This window comes from Homo sapiens, chromosome 14 (genome assembly GCF_000001405.40).
Source record: "Homo sapiens chromosome 14, GRCh38.p14 Primary Assembly".
In the NCBI taxonomy this organism is placed as follows: Eukaryota; Metazoa; Chordata; class Mammalia; order Primates; family Hominidae; genus Homo; species Homo sapiens.
Window position 1 is genome coordinate 78,043,925 of NC_000014.9, and position 17,804 is coordinate 78,061,728.

Genomic DNA, 17,804 nt, shown 5'->3' on the forward strand with positions numbered 1-17,804 from the left:
AATTTTCTGTTTGATGCTCATTTAATTTTCCCACATGTGTATATTCCTTGAACGTCTAAACAAATGTACAACATTTATTGAGCATTATAGGTGCCATGCACATGCTAGGCCCTTCTCATGCTATTTATTTAAGCCTCACCATAACCGTGATACATGCTTTCAATTTTGCCATTATAGAAACTGAGTCTGAGCTAGGATTTTCCAAAGCCAAGTTACTTGTGAATATTAGATTGAGATCTGAACTCATATTTAGCGTTAGAGACAGACATCGAGTCTTGCCGTATTTCTGCAGACATTTTATTCTGGGCTGTGTACCTGCAGACCCTCAGTAAATGTTTATTTATGATGAAGGCTTTCTTGACTAATTCTCTCATCATTCCCTCCTCCTTTGAGCTCAAACAGCACAACTGTACTGTTCAACTTCATGTACATTTTATATCATCCATCGTATCAGTTAGGAATGTGTTAAGTTGCAAGGAAGAAAACCCCAACCAATGTTGTGGTTTAAAAAAAAGGATGCATAAAAACCAAATAGTCCAATTAAAAAATGGGCAAAGGGCCCGAATAGAAATTTTCTTCCAAATAAGACATACAAATGGCCATAGGTCTAGGAAAAGGTGCTCAGCATCACTAACCATCAGGGAAATACAAATGTAAACCATGATGAGATATCACCTCATCACTGTCAGGATGGCTATTATCAAAAAGACAAGAGATAAATATTGGGAAAAGTGTAGGGAAAAGAGAACCCTTGTATACTGTTGGTGTGAATGTAGATTGGTACAACCAATACAGAAATAGTATGGAAGTTCCTCCACAAATGAAAACTAGAACTACCATATGATCCAGAAGGCATATACATGAAGGAAAGGAAATTAGTACCTTGAAGAGACATCTGTACCTACATGTTCACTGAAGCACTATTCACAATATCCAGGATGTGGAAGCAATGTGTCTATCCATGGGTGAATGAATAAGGAAAATGTGATATATAAAATGGAATATTGGCCGGGCATGGTGCTCACACCTGTAATCCTAGCATTTTGGGAGGCTGAGGCAGGTGGATCACCTGAGGTCAGGAATTCAAGACCAGCTTGGCCAACATGACAAAACCCTGTCTCTACCGAAAAAAAAAAAAACAAAAACAAAAAATTAGCTGGGTGTGGTGGCGGGCACCTGTAATCCCAGGTAATTGGGAGGCTGAGGCAGGAGAATTGCTTGAACCCGGGAGGTGGAGGTTGCAGTGAGCTGAGATTGTGCCATTGCACTCCAGCCTGGGCAACAGAGCGAGATTCTGTCTCAAAAAAATAAAAATAAAAATAAAAAAATAAAAGGCCGGGCACGGTGGCTCATGCCTGTAATCCTTGTACTTTGGGAGATTGAGGCGGGCGATTGCCTGAGCTCAGGAGTTCAAGACCAGTCTGGGCAACATGGTGAAACCCAGTCTCTACTAAAAATACCAAAAATTAGCTGGGCATGGTGGCATGCGCCTGTAGTCCCAGCTACTCTGGAGGCCGAGGCAGGAGAATTGCTTGAACCTAGGAGGTGAAAGTTGCAGTGAGCCAAGACTGTGCCATTGCACTCCAGCATGGGCAACCAAGCAAGGCTCCGTTTTGAAAAAAAAAAAAAAAAAGGTATATTATTCATCCTTAAGAAAAGAATTCTGCCATTTGCAACAACATGGGTAAACCTGGAGGACATTATGCTAAGTGAAATAAGCCAGACCCAGAAAGAAATATTATACAATCTCACTTTTATATGTGGAATCTAAAATAGTTGAATTCATAGAAGCTGCAGAGATTAGAATGGAGGTTGCCAGGGGCTGGAAGGTGGGGGAAATGGGGAGATGCTGGTCAAAGGGAAAAAACTTGCAGTTATAAGAGGAAAATGTTCTGGGGACTTAATGTACAGGATGGGTGGTAATGAATTTGACTGTGCTAATCATTATACAGTATACACATAAATCATTACATCATATACCTTGAATATATTTAATCTTTATTTGACAAATAGTTTAAAAAATGGCTGCAAGTTCTTTGACACCCCTCCAATTGAGAGGTGGGGGTCCATGTCTCCTCCCCTTGAATCTGGGGACTCATTGGCCAACTGAGTACCACAGAAACAATACTACATGACTTCTGCATGAGTCTAGGTCATAAAACATCATGCAAATGACTTTTTTATGTCACCAAGTTTTAGAGTAGCTTGTTACACACCAAAAGTAACTGGAACGCCCAAGGAACAGTAGTTTACAGCAAAAGAGGTACATGAATGTATGTATTTAATATAGCTGGAGATCCAGAGGTGGGCTCTTGTTGGCATTAGTTCACTGTTGAACAGTGTCATCAGGGACCCAGGCTCTTTCCACATGCTCAGGTTGTCATCCTTCATACAATGGCTTCTGTCCTCATGCTTGTTGCTTCATAGTTTGGCATAATTGCTGTAGCTCCGGGCATTGTGTCTGCATGCAAGTTAGAAAAAAGGACGGCCAGAGCCAGCCTCATCTCTATGATTTTATTAGGAAAGCAAAAGCTTTCTCAGAACTTCCCAGATGTTCACTTGCATCTAATTGGCTGGAATTTTGTCATATGACCATCCTTAATGGGAAGGGAGGCTGAGAAAAATGAGTACTTACCTGGGCACATTGCTGTCCTAAACACAATCTGGGTTTGCTTAGCAAGGACACAGGAGAACATAAATATTATGTGGGGAAGACCAGTGTCTGGCACATACCTCAAATGTTTTACTTGTTTTCTGGTTGGCTCCACTAAATGGCCAGTCTTTGACAGAGACAAACCCTGTTACTTCTCTGGAATGCTCGTTAGCATCTAATATAGCACTGAGAATGTAATTCCTGTTTACTGTGTTCAATTGTTGAAAAAAAGGAGAAAAAAAGGAAGACGTTTTTCAGAGCAAAGGTCTTTACATTTTTTTCCTTGCATAGCTCTTGAAAAAATGTTGAAAGACAATGTACCCCCTTGCATATTTTAGACTTGATATCTACTTTTTAAATTGTAACTATGCATAGTTGAAAAGGATATAATATTTGGCATATTGTAAATACTGACATTTAAAAATGAACCTATTACATTGTTCTTTTATATGTTCCTAATGAAAGCCATATATATGTATAAAATAGTAATTTGATACTGCTACCTTCTATTTAAAAAGACACAAACAAGCTTTTCTTTAGTAGTTATAAATTTTCCCATCATTCCTTTTTTTTCCTTGAACTTGTATTTTCATTCCACTTTCCCTACCAAATTTTATCCTAATGTAATATATTTTATGCTTGAAAGTGTTTTATTGATTTCTGCATCATTCTTCTCTGCAACAAAAACGTGCATATAAATTGAAATAACATTTTAAAACATTTCATGTGACTAAAAGGCTCTGAGTATTGAAAAATTTCTTCTGGATTGAATTATGAAAATTATTACTACTACACAATTGAGAAAAACAACATAACTATATTATATATTTTGATATATAATTATTAGACACAAAAAGTAAAATTACATTGGAAATGCACCTGCTATGAGATGGGTAGGATTTTTAAAAATTGTTTCATGTGTCTGTGGGCAAATATTACTTATTGCTAGAATGAGACAAATGTTGGCATCAATTACAATTCTCTTTTTTGTTTGTTAAGACACAAGGGCTGAAAATGTTGCTCACATAAGTAGGTGGAAATGTTAGGAATATTGATACATTTGAATTATTTGAGCTGCTTTCAAGTCATATATTTAAAAGTCACAGTGATCTATCATCAAAAATTATCTTTAATCATCTATCAATTTACAGCTCAATTAGGGCTTCCTTCAGTTATGTAGGAACCGCTTGACTTGGAAAAGAACTTGTTACCCCATTGTTTGAGCTGTTCACTTGCAAATGGATTTGCTATCTAATCATTGTTCACAACCTCAGTATTTCCGTTTACTCTCTGTTAGAGCCCTGGACATTTATATTCCATGATGCATCGTATTAAGATTTGGGATAGCTGAGAACTGTGGCTTTCTTCTGTTACGTGGGAGAAGGGCTCCTGTGGAAAGAGAAGGCAGGGAAAGAGAATTTGCTTCATGTCCCCTTTGCAGGCAGATCAGTTTCAGGAGAACCTGTAGGAAAACTGAGGATCTGGAAACTGAGCTTCACAAATCTGTTCATGCCCCCAAACCAAGTCTGCTTGTACCCACTAGGGTATGAGTACCCCATTTAGACTGCTGTTCCAGAGGACGTTGAACTCATAGAGATGTTAACACTTTTGCAGAGGATGGATTTGCTTGAGTTTCCCTTCTGGTATAGTGGCTTTCACTTAATGTGCTGTTCTGTGCTAAGTGCCTAACAGATAAGGTCTTCTTGAGTCCTTAGAACAACCTTAAGAGGGAGGAATCATTATCTCTATTTTGCAGATGCAGGGGCTAAGGGAAGTGGCAGCCAGCAAGTGTGAAAGCTGGGGTTCAAACCCAGGGCTGTGAGAATTGCAGAGCCTGAGCTCTTCAGCCATTGTATTAAATTGTACCTTTCTTTAGGTACTGTGAGCATGGCTCTTCATACCAGGTGTTGCCTGGACTGTTGCTGCTGTTGCTGCTGCTGGTGGTTTTCTGTCTCTTTCTTGGTGAGTTTCTCTAAAGCGGCAGTTCTCAAACTGTGGTGTGCATCAGGATCAGCTGGAGGCTTTAAGACACAGATGGCTGGGCTGCGCGTCCAGAGTTTCTGATTCAGTAGGTCTGATGCAAATGCTGAGAATCTGCATTTCCAACTCCCCAGGTTTGGGAACCACACTTTGAGAAACACTTCTCTAAAGAATGTCCAGCCTCATGGGAGAGATTCCCTTTTCTAATGCATTTGGGGACTTTTTATATATATATATATATTTTTTATTATTATTATACTTTAAGTTCTAGGGTACATGTGTACAACGTGCAGGTTTGTTACATATGTATACATGTGCCATGTTGGTGTGCTGCACCCATTAACTCATCATTTACATTAGGTATATCTCTAATGGCAACAAAAGCCAAAATTGACAAATGGGATCTAATTAAAGAGCTTCTGCACAGCAAGAGAAACTACCATCAGAGTGAACAGGCAACCTACAGAATGGGAGAAAATTTTTGTAATCTACTCATCTGACAAAGGGCTAATATCCAAAATCTACAAAGAACTCAAACAAATTTACAAGAAAAAAACAACCCCATCAAAAAGTGGGTGAAGGATATGAACAGACTTTTTTTAAAAAAATTTCTTTTAGGGCTGAGATTTTCACCTGCCTAGAAATGAGTATGTATACATATGCACGTTACATGTATATTTCAACATCTGAAACAACTTTGGAAAAAACTCATGCTACAGGAGTTTTTGCTGGAGATTTTTTGAGTGATTTTGTTCATGGGCATGCCTGCATTAGGGGGAAATTGTGCTGACATATTTTTATTCATTTATACTTTGTTATATATTTTATATATATTTTATTCATTTATACTTTGTTCATGAAGGTCCTCTTTGTCTTTGCCAAGTTATTCCCTCTATTTGGATGGAATGTCCTTTTCCCCATGCTTCACCCATTGGTTTATTCTTCAAGACTCTTTTCAAGGTAATATCTCCTCTGTGAAGTTTCCTGGCGGAGTTAAGTCTCTTTCCAGAACTCCTCCATTCTGCATAGCATTCTACAGGTGTGATTGGCTTACACATTCTCTCTCCCATTGGTTGAGTTCAGTGCTAGTAAACACTAAATAAATAATAACACTTTGCTGACATTAAGTGGGTGTTTACTATATGCTAGGCATTTGCTAAACACCTTACATATACTATTTCATTAAATGCCTACATCTACCTTATGAGGTAGATATTGTTGTCATCCCTCTTTCACGGTGGAGGAAACCAAGGCACAGAAGGGTAACTGCCAAGGGCACATAAATGTTGAGGGGCATTTCCTTGTTGCAGTCCCTGAGGTCCAGGACTGAACCTCAGGCTTACAGCTTCCAAGTACTGATCTATCAGCCCATGAAGCTAATTGACACTGAGGTATATAATTCCTATCAAGAGAATGCTAGTCCATCAATTGGTATAGGGAGAAATGCCAAAGGGAATGGCCATTCTGGGCAGTGTGTTCTCTCTCCTACGGCAGGTTTCTTAGAAGCCAAACCATAGCCTCCATTTGACCATTCAGTACAAGTTCACACCAGGGAGTTAGTAATATGTGTCCAATCTGTGGTGGTCTTGGGTTTAGACGATCTACTTCTGTGACAAGGATATTGCTGGGAGCCATAGGGCAAATCCTTGGGCATGACAGCTTCATGGAGAAGACCAGGGACTCTGCAGCTAGCCTGGGCAGTTTCACATTTCGGCTCTGCCACTTACCAGCTGTGTGACCTGTAAGTTACTCAGTTGCATAGTACCTGTTTCCTCATCTGAACAAAGATGTTGATGATAACGAAGCCTATCTCATAGGCTTGTTGTAAGGGCTAAATTCTTTAGCATAAGTAAAGAACTTAGGAGAGTGTCCAGATATAACCAGAACTGTGCAAATACTATTCATTATTGTGACTCTTTCTTAAAATTATTTTTATTTTTATTTTATTTTAAGTTCTCGAATACATGTGCAGAATGTGGAGGTTTGTTACATATGTATACATGTGCCATGGTGGTTTGTATACATGTGCCATGGTGGTTTGGAGTACCCATCAACCCGTTATCTAGGTTTTAAGCCCTCCCTGCATTAGGTATTTGTCCTAATGCTCTCCCTCCTCTTGACCCCCACCCTACAACAGGCCCCAGTGTGTGATGTTCCGCTCTCTGTGTCCATGTGTTCTCATTGTTCAACTCCCACTTGTAAGTGAGAACATGGGGTGTTTGATTTTATGTTCCTGTGTTAGTTTGCTGAGAATGATGGCTTCCAGCTCCATCCATGTCCCTGCAAAGGACATGAACTCATTCTTTTTTATGGCTGCATAGTATTCCATGGTGTATATGTGCCACATTTTCTTTATCCAATCTATCACTGATGGGCGTTTGGGTTGGTTCCAAGTCTTTGCTATTTAAATAGTGCTTCAATAAACATATGTGTGCATGTGTCTTTGTAGTAGAATGATTTATAATCCTTTGGATATATACCCAGTAATGGGATTGCTGGGTCAGATGGTATTTCTGGTTCTAGATCCTTGAGGAATCGCCACACTGTCCTCCACAATGGTTGAGCTAATTTACACCCTGACCAACAGTGTAAAAGTGTTCCTATTTCTTCATAGCCTCGCCAGCATCTGTTGTTTCCTGACTTTTTAATGATTGCCATTCTAACTGGCATGAGATGGTATCTCATTGTGGTTTTGATTTGCATTTCTCTAATGACCAGTGATGATGAGTTTGTTTTCATATGTTTGTTGGCCACATAAATGTCTTCTTTTGAGAAGTGTCTGTTCATATTCTTTGCCCACTTTTTGACGGGGTTATTTGTTTTCTTCTTGTAAATTTGTTTAAGTTCCTTATAGATTCTGGATATTAGCCCTTTGTCAGATGGATAGATTGCAAAAATTTTCTCCCATTCTGTAGGTTGCCTGTTCACTCTGATGATAGTTTCTTTTGTTGTGCAGAAGCTCTTTAGTTTAATTAGATCCCATTTGTCAGTTTTGGCTTTTGTTGCAATTGCTTTCAGTGTTTTAGTCAGGAAGTCCTTTCCCATACTTATGTCCTGAATGATATTGCCTAGGTTTTATTCTAGGGTTTTTATGGTCTTAGGTTTTACATTTAAGTCTTTAATCCATCTTGAGTTAATTTTTGTGTAAGGTTAAGGAAGGTGTCCAGTTTCTGTTTTCTGCATATGGCTAGCCAGTTTTCCCAGAATCATTTATTAAATAGTGGAATCCTTTCCCCATTGCTTGTTTTTGCCAGGTTTGTTGAAAATCATATAGTTGTAGATGTGTGGTGTTATTTCTGAGGTCTCTGTTCTGTTCCATTTGTCTATATATCTGTTTTGGTACCAGTACCATGCTGTTTTGTTTACTGTAGCCTTGTAGTATAATTTGAAGTCAGGTAGTGTGATGCCTCCAACTTTGTTGCTTTTGCTTAGGATTGTCTTGGCTATACAGGCTCTTTTTTGGTTCCATATGAAGTTTAAAGTAGTTTTTTCTAATTCTGTGAAGAAAGTCAATGGTAGTTTGATGAGAATAGCATTGAGTCTGTAAACTGCTTTGGGCAGTATGGCCATTTTCAGGATACTGATTCTTCCTATCCATGAGCACAAAATATTTTTCCATTTGTTTGTGTCCTCTCTTATTTCCTTGAGCAGCGGTTTGTAGTTCTCCTTGAAGAGATCCTTCACATCCCTTGTAAGTTGTATTCCTAGGTATTTTATTCTCTTTGTAGCAATTGTGAAGCAGTCTCTGTGGCACAACTGGTTAGTGTGTTCCCTATTGTGACTCTTAGCATTGTATCCCCAGTGTCCAGCAGAGGCCTACCACTGAGTAGGTACTCAATACATATTTCTGAATGAATGAATGAATGAATGAATGATTTATTTGACTAGAAATTTGTAAGAGTTTACCAAAGTTTACTTGAGAACAGTGGCTTTTAATTTCTTTTTGACAATAATCTGCAGTAAATGAATGCATTTTATTATTATTTTCCCTAGAGCTGACATATTTTTAAAAATATTATTTATCTTTTTTCTTTTTTTAACAAATATTTTAAATTAAGACCTAGTATACACATAGACACAGAGACACTTCATGAAACAATACTCACCATTATTACATGTGATGCAGTCTTCTACTTTCTTTTCTTTTTTTTTTTGAGAATGAGTCTCGCTCTGTTGCCTAGACTGGAGTGCAGTGACAGGATCTCAGATCACTGGAATCTCTGCCTCTGGGTTGAAGTGATTCTTCTGCCTCAGCCTCTCAAGTAGCTGGGATTACAGGGGCATGCCACCATGCCTGGCTAATTTTTGTATTTTTAGTAGAGACGGGATTTCACCATGTTGGCCAGGCTGGTCTCGAACTCCTTACCTCAAGTGATCCACCTGCCTCAGCCTTCCAAAGTGCTGGGATTACAGGTGTAAGCCACTGCACCCCGCCTAGTCTTCTATTTTCTATTCTATGCTATTTTGGTTTTTAAAAAGGCTTTTAACCTGCTAGTTGATTTTACTACCTATTAGGGAGTCAGGATCTATGGATATGTTAATATTAGCAGGAAGACTTTGCATATTTTTGCTTCAACTTTCTTTTTTTCTTTTTTTAAGAGATGGGTTCTCATTACGTTGCCCAGGCTGGACTCTTGGACTCAAGCAATCCTGCCACTCCAGTCTTCCAAGTAGCTGGGACCACAGGCATGTGAACCATGCCTGGCTTTAAAGGACCTTAAAAGACAAACCATTCCTCTCATCTTTGTGTTCTTGGGCCCCATGTCCAGGTCAATAGAGACTGTTTCTCATTTCTCCCATGTTGCACATCTCATGGCCTGGGCTGGCCCTGAGGTCTGTACATCTTTCCAGGGCCCATGAATAGGACTCTTCCATGAAGCTCTGATTTTCCAGGACAGGATAGACTAGAGCTGTGGCCTGAAAGTAACTGCGTCAAAGGCTTCGTCCCTATTTGGCAAAGTTTGGACTTGTCTAAAGAAGTGCCATCTTCTCTTTAAGACCTCTTGGTCTTCATTTGAACACTTTTGCCTAACAATGTCCAGCACCTGGTGTGGAGATGGTCTTGGTCTTTCCCTGCCCCTCGGGCCACCCAGCTTTAATTTGCCACCACTTCTCCTCCTGCTGTGGGCTGCTGGCTCCTGGGCTCCAGTTCTGTGCAAGGAAAGCCTTTGGCTGTATTTAGCCTGGATTCCTGAGTTTTCTATGACTGGCAAGGGTGAGGAGGAAAATGCGTTCTGGGGCTGGAGAATGGTGATGGGGCAGGATGGGCTTTGGTTGTAGAGGAAAAGGCTGAGTGGAGTGTGTCCTGATGTGTGTTTAGATCTGTATAGGCCCTGGGCAAAGGGGTGCTCTAAAACCAGAAAAGCATGAGTTCCATTAGCCACCCGGTGTTGTGCTTCCCTTTCTCTGGTGCATGTCAAGGACAGAATGTTTAGAAATTTCCTATAGCCACCAGCTTGGTTCTTTTCAAGGCTTGCATATAAATGTCACATGTGATCTTAGTTCAAGTCAAAAGAGAGAAAGGGAAAAGCCTGTAGGGCCAGGTGAAGCTTGCTTTGTTCCGGGTAACTCTTTTTGCTTTTTTTTTTGAGACAGAGTCTCGCTCTGTCGCCCAGGCTGGAGTGCAGTGGCGCAGTCTCGGCTCACTGCAACCTCCGCCTCCTAGGTTCACGCCATTCTCCTGCCTCAGCCGCCCAAGTAGCTGGGACTACAGGTGCCTGCCACCACTCCCGGCTAATTTTTTGTATTTTTAGTAGAGATGGGGTTTCACCGTGTTAGCCAGGATGGTCTCGATCTCCTGACCTCGTGATCCACCTGCCTCGGCCTCCCAAAGTGCTGGGATTACAGGCATGAGCCACCGCGCCCGGCCTGTTCCAGGTAACTCTTAATGGGACAGTAATAATACTATTAACTCCCTCTGCTATTTATTCAGCATCTCTACGCTTTGACACTGTAGATTCTGCTTGCTGGCTCAAACTGGTGGCCTCTGCTCCATTGCTCCTGGTCCCACAGCCTCTATTCATCTTTGTTGTTTAAACATTTTAAACTCTATTTCATGGTTTCTTAGAAATGCCAAAGCCAACCTTCTTGAACCATGGCCATTTAGGGCTCTTGTTTTTTCTGCCTTAAGAAGGTGAATACCTCCACCTGCCTTCCTGCACACCTTTTGTCCCTTTGTTCTCCATCTCTTTTAAAAAATGTTAGCGTGTCAGCATATCCCTCATAGACTCAGTAATGCAGACTCCTGTGATTTGCTGCTTTGACATGTGCTCACCTATTCCAAGTGTTCCTTAGCCTATTTGTTGTCAGTAGTTATTTTTGCAGTCTTCATTACTTCCTATTTGTCTGAAAGGTATTTCTTAGTCCCTTCCTTTCCCCTTCTCTTTTTCTGTACTTTCCCTATTATAGCTGTAGGTCACAGACATTTGGATTTCATGGAGTAAAAGTTAAAAAAGAAGGCTGAGTGCAGTGGCTCACACCTGTAATCCCAGCACTTTGGGAGGCTGAGGTGGGTGGATCACTTGAGGCCAGGAGTTCAAGACCAGCCTGGGCAAAATAGTGAGAACCCTGTCTCTGAAAAAAAAAAAAAAAAAAAAAAGATTAGGCAGGCATGGTGGTATGTGCCTGTAGTCTCAGCTACCAGCTTCTTAGGGTGTTGAGGTCGAGGATCACTTGAGCCCAGAGTTCGAGGCTGCAGTGAGCCATGATTGCACCACTGCACTCCAGTTTGGGCAACAGAGTAAGACCCTGTCTCAAAAAAAAAGACAACTACCACCTACGTTTACCATCATTTCATAAAAGAAGTTGCTCAATGTGGTCCTAGAAGGATGTCAGTTGCCCTTGTGGAGATGTGCTTTCATTGAAGCTTTTTGGTTCTTTTGATGTGATCCAGGTCTGCCTCTTCTGATCCCAGTTCAGTGCAATCTCTTGGCACCTACTGCACGCTCAGCACTGTAGTGGACACAAAAGAAGAACTGGACTTTTGTCAAAAGACTTTTGCCTTTACCCTCAGGGACACATGTGTTTCCTGAGAGAGGACACAAGACAAACAGCTGTGCAAGACTGCAACTTTTGGGTATACCTTCCTATGAGACTGTGAACTTTTTTTTTTTTTTTGAGATGGTGTTTTGCTCTTGTTTCCCAGGCTGGAGTGCAATGGCATGATCTCAGCTCACTGCAGCCTCTGCCTCCTGGATTCAAGCGAGTCTCCTGCCTCAGCCTCCCGAGTAGCTGGGATTACAGATATGCGCCACCATGCTCAGCTTATTATTATTATTATTATTTTTATTTGTATTTAGTAGAGATGGTGTTTCACCATGTTAGGCTGGTCTCGAACTCCTGACCTCAGGTGATCCACCCACCTTGGCCTCCCAAAGTGCTGGGATTATGCCAAAGACTGTGAACTTCTTCTTCTTCTTCTTCTTCTTTTTTTTTTTTGAGACAGAGTCTCCCTCTGTCGCCCAGGCTGGAGTGCAATGGTGCGATCTGGGCTCACTGCAAGCTCCGCCTCCCAGGTTCACACCATTCTCTTGCCTCAGCCTCCCGAGTAGCTGGGTCTACAGGCGCCCGCCACCAGGCCCGGCTAATTTTTGGTATTTTTAGAAGAGACAGGGTTTCACTGTGTTAGCCAGGATGGTCTTGATTTCCTGACCTCATGATCCACCTGCCTTGGCCTTCCAAAGTGCTGGGATTGCAGGCATGAGCCACCGCACCCGGCTGACTGTGAACTTCTTAAGGGAAAGGATCGTATCCTATATGTGTCTACATGTGGTGCTGCACCAGCACGGTGTCTGATATATCATACATGTTCTATTGATGTTTGCTCACTGAAAATGAATTACAGGACATGATGAGGTTTGGATCTATACCCCCGCCCAAATCTTGTGTTGAACTGTAATCCCCAGTGTTGGAGGTGGGGCCTGGTGGGGGGGGACTGGGTCACGGGAGTGGGGTTCTCATACATGGTTTAGCACCATGCTCTCTTGGTACCGTATAGTGAGTGAGTTTTCACAAGATCTGGTTGCTTAAAAGCATGTAGCATCCCCACCCACCCACCCCGCTCCCACCATGTGAAAGCCTTGTTCCCCCTTTTCCTTCCACCATGGTGGTGAGTTTCCTGAGGCTTCCCCAGAAACGAAGCAGATGGTCAACATCATGCCTCCTATACAGCCTGTGGAACCATGAGTCAATTAAACTTCTTTTCTTTATAAATTACCCAGTCTGGCTGGGCATGGTGGCTCACGCCTGTAATCCTAGCACTTTGGGAGGCTGAGGCGGGCGGATCACTTGAGGTCAGGAGTTCAAGACCAGCCAGACCAACGTGGCAAAACCCCATCTCTACTAAAAGTACAAAAAATTAGCCAGGCATGGTGGTGGACACCTGTAATCCCAGGTACTTGGGAGGCTGAGGCAGGAGAATTGCTTGAATCTGGGAGGCGGAGGTTGCAGTGAGCTGAGATTGTGCCACTGCACTCCAGCCTGGGCAACAGAACCAGACTCTGTCTCCCAGTAAATAAATAAATAAATAAATAAATAAATAAATAAATAACCAACCCAGTTTCAGGGATTTCTTTCTAGCAGTGTGAGAATGAACTAATATAGGACAGTACAAGATAAAAGACATATAGCTGCTTAACTGAAGTCAATCATGTATCAATAATGGATAATACAGTACAACGAAAGGTAGGATAGAGTGGGAAGAGGAGGGATCATCACTGACTTAAGCTGGCAGGAAGACTTAACGGAAGCAGGTGGTGAGATTTGAGGTGGGCTCTCAGGAATGAGTAGAATTTGGCATGAACTGGCAGTAACTAGTGGGTTCCTACTGAAAAGCGCCTGGGGACCAGGTAATAATATTCAGGAATGGCTATGTCTTTGTTTTGCAAGCTAATCTTTCTGATTTGGAGATTATGGGATGATGACAGACACCAAATAACCATTTAGGCAGTGGTTTGAAATTGGGAGAGGACATTTGGCAATGTCTGGAGACATTTTTAGTTGTTACACCTGGGGCAAGGGTGCTACTGGCAAATAATAGTGGCATATGGGAGGGGCTAGGCATGCTGCTAAACATTTTACAATGCAGAGGACAGCCGCTGCCTCACCCCCAAACAAAGAATGGACTGGCTCAAAATGTCAGTGGTGCCATAGTTTAGAAATCCTGATTTAGGGAGATTGATAAGAAAAAGGAAATAATTCCGGGCGCCGTGGCTCATGCCTGTAATCCCAGCACTTTTGGAGGCCGAGACGGTTGGATCATCTGAGGTTAGGAGTTCGAGACCAGCCTGGCCAACATGGTGAAACCTCATCTCTACTAAAAATACAAAAATTAGCTGGGTATAATGGCACGTGCCTATAGTCCTAGCTACTTGGGAGACTGAAGCGGGAGAATCGCTTGAACCTGGGAGGCGGAGGTTGCAGTGAGCCGAGATTGCGCCATTGCACTCCAGCCTGGGCAACAGAGTGAGACTCTGTCTCAAAGAAAAAGGAAATGAATATGGTGTTATCAGTAGCATTTCATGATCACAAATAGTGCCTGGAAGCCAAGGCTGCAATGATAGGATAACATTGCCCCTCTCCTTCTTTCCAAGGAACTTTTCCAATCATCTTCTTATTGCTCTCCTCCTCCTTCTCTTCCTCCTCCTCCTCTTCTTATTTTCTTATATTGCCATGTGCCTTTCTCCTTCCTTATCACCTCCTCTTTCACTTAATACCTCCTCCAGTACTTTTATTCATTGGCCTCCTGCAAGTCAAGGCCTCAGAGCTACCCAAAGAACTCTGGGAGGTCGTTTGGGTAAAGCATTTGGAGCTGAACCCAGAGGTCTTGGCCCAAGGCATATCTTTACCTTTATGCCATCTAGACTTAAACTCCTGTTAAATCTCATGGATTATGAATCTATTCAGAGGGATACTTTTGGCTTTGTCAGTTCTAACATGTCAAGTACAAGTTAAGCTTATTTTTACAAGGGCATCATAATTGCATTTGTTTACCTTATGGTTGACGGCAGGGTATAGAGGTGAGTTTTCCAAAATACAGTTCCTGTAACATTAGTTCACTATATCTGAATAAGTATTCTCTGAAATAAAGGGTTCAGAAAAAATATTTAGGTGGGCATTTGTAACATATTTTAAATTGTAAATAGATTTTTTATTGCAAGACTTCTTAGAGCCATATGGACATTTTGAATTTCCTAGACAAAGAAGTACTATACTAAATTCTCAAACTTAATTGACCATGGGACACATTTTGCAGAACACGTACCAATAACTTCATTTGGGAAACGTTATTCCACTGTAACTGGAAAAGTATGGATTCTGGAGCTCTGTCATCCTGACTTGAAATTTCTACCTCTACCATTGAGTAACTTGTTTCTTTGGGCAAGGTATTTAACTTTTTGAAGCCTGAGTTTCCTCATCGGGAAAACATAACCATAGGCAAATAATACATCCCTCACAAAGTATTGGGGGTTACCTCCTAACCTCATGCTTCCATTGTTTCAGTCACATTGTTGTGCAATTTGTTGTTGACATGAAAGTCTTTCCGACCAAACTGAAATCATCCAGGACCTGGGTGGTATCTTATGATTTTTGTATCCTCAGTTCTTCCCCCAATTCCTGGCACTCGATGGCACTCCATAACAGCTTATTGAATTAGTCAATGGATAACATATGTAATGCACCTCGTGCAGTTCTCGTCTGGCTCCTTCCTTTATCCCTTCTCATTGGGTAAAAACTTATTGGAAGAAGTATGAAGGAGGCGGACATGAAGTGCTGGTGACATTGACCCTGATGATTTGGTTGGCTAAAGGCTGCATTCAGACCCATGCTTGATGTATGTGACCATTAGCCAGTGTGCACGTGAGGCTCACTTAGGGATAGTGTGTTTATTTATTTGTAACTGCATGCCACAGAGTTACTACATTGGTTAGCTGTCATTTGCAGTATTCAATTTTGGGCATCAACTGTTAGGAGGGAGAAGATACTGGTTCCTTTAACATCCCTAACTCTGGTCTCTTCTTCTTCTTCCTTTTTTTTTTTTTTCTCCTCCTGGAATTTTTCCTTCTTATTTTGCTTTTTTAAAGGTTATTTTATTCAGGCATAGGCATAAGACATTAAAAAAGATAAGGGATATGGTGTGAGGGAGGGAGGAAATCAAATAATTAATCCAAAAAAATCTGTAGAAATTAAAAATCAGAGCTTGGGGGCAAGGTGGGAGGCCACACATTCTTTCCACAGAGCCATTACCCATTGCCCAACTGTCTTCAGAAGCAAGAATAAAACAACAACAACAACAAAAAAACCCAACAGACCTCAGCTGTGTAATGAAGCTGGGGTCTTGGTCTGTTAGCTTTTAATATCTTTAAAACTGGGCTGGGCATCAAGTGTCTTTTCTGGAATAGGCCAAGGAAGACAAGTCCAGTTTGGTTTTCAAGACTTCAGTGAGCTCTGTGGCCAGCAGCTCATGGAGGGACACGCTGTCATGGGAGTACATGCAGTTTTTCCCAGTCCCATCATAATTCTTGGGCCCACTGGATGGAGAAGATAACCAGATTTGCTTGTTTGGTGCCTGCCTGTTGATCAAATAGGTTCCTAGATCTCCACCCAGTTTAATAGTTAAGACACCACTCCCAAAGGAAACATCATAGTCCTCAAATGCATATGGCTCATCTGCAAGGTCTTCAAAAATTTCTGCTAAGGAGTCCAGCGTTTCCTCCGCTAGTCAGTTTCTTCTTAAAAATACTTGGGGGAGGGTAAGGGAGACATTCACAAGCTGATGAGGGTCCTCCTGGGAGGGTTCTGGAGCATCTGGATGTCCCAAATTATGATGAATGGTGAAGGAAATAGTGATGTGTACTCTCAGGAGCAAACCGGGGCACATGTTAACTTTCTTCTTATGAGCAGAATCTTCTAAAAAAGAGGGCTATAGACTGGTGTGAGCAAACCTGGGTGTCAGTGTCTGTATGACCATAGGTGAGTTTCCTGTTCCCTGGGCCCATGTTTCCTGTTCTAAAATGAAGGTTTGGGAGTGGAAGATGTTTGCAGGTCTTCTGTGGTTTGATGAGACATGAAATTGAAATATTTGGGGGCTGTGCTGGAGAGAAGTGTAGACTCCAGACTTTTTCTGTGGATTTTGGAGAGCAGAACTCAGACCATGGGTGGGAAGAGAAGGGGCCGGTGGCTGTTCAGTGTAAAAAAGTCATTTCAGAGGGAGGGAGAATGTGGACAATCCTGTTGTCACAAGTATAACCAGAGTTGCTGGCCAGGGCTGTTCTTCAGGTGACCCATAAGATCCTTGCCTTTAATTTAAAAAATGTTTTATTTTAGGATAGTATTAGATTTACAGAAAAATTGTGAAGATAATACAGAATTCTCATATACTCTAGGATGTGGTCTGAATCTTGGTGACCCACACCCCCAGCCCTGCCTTCAAATTCGTTTGTTGAAATCTTACCCCTGCAAGGTGATGGTATTAGGAAGTGGGGCCTTTTAGGAGGTGATTAGCTTCTGAGGGCAGAGCCCTTATGGTTGGGATTAGTGCCCCTATAAAATAGGCCTGAGGGAGCTCATTCTCCCCTTCCACCAAGAGAAGACACAGCAAGACTGCACCATCTATTAACTGGGAAATGGATCCTCACCAGATGCCAAATCTGCCAGCACCTTGATCTTGAACTTCTTGCTTTTCTAATTGTGGAAATAAATTTCCTTTGTTTATAAGGTACTAGTCTATGATATTTAGTTATCACAGCCTGAATGGATTAAGACCTAAATACGATTTCCAGTAGTGTTAACATTTTACATTAGTAAGGTACATTTGTTATAATTGATGAGCCAACATTGATACATTATTATTAACTAAAGTCCATTCTTTATTCACATTTCCTTATCCCTTCCTATCTTTTTTCTGTTCCAGAACCCATCCAGGATATCACATTACATTTAGGCTCCTCTTGGCTGTGAACATTTCTTAGACTTTCCTTGCTTTTGATGACTTTGACAATTTTAAAGAATACTAGCGTATTCTTCAGTGCAATACAGTGTAGTTGCTGACCAGTAGCTGCTGGACACTTGTAGAATGACCCTCAATTAGAGTTTGTCTGAGGTGTCATATGATTAGATTGGAGTTGTGTGTTTTGGAAAAGTAAATCACAGAGGTGAAATGCCCTTCTCATCA

General features: G+C 41.5%; 1 pseudogene; it reads right to left on the reverse strand.

Moving 5' to 3' along the window:
* Positions 15,670 to 16,362, reverse strand: FXNP1 (frataxin pseudogene 1; annotated as a pseudogene).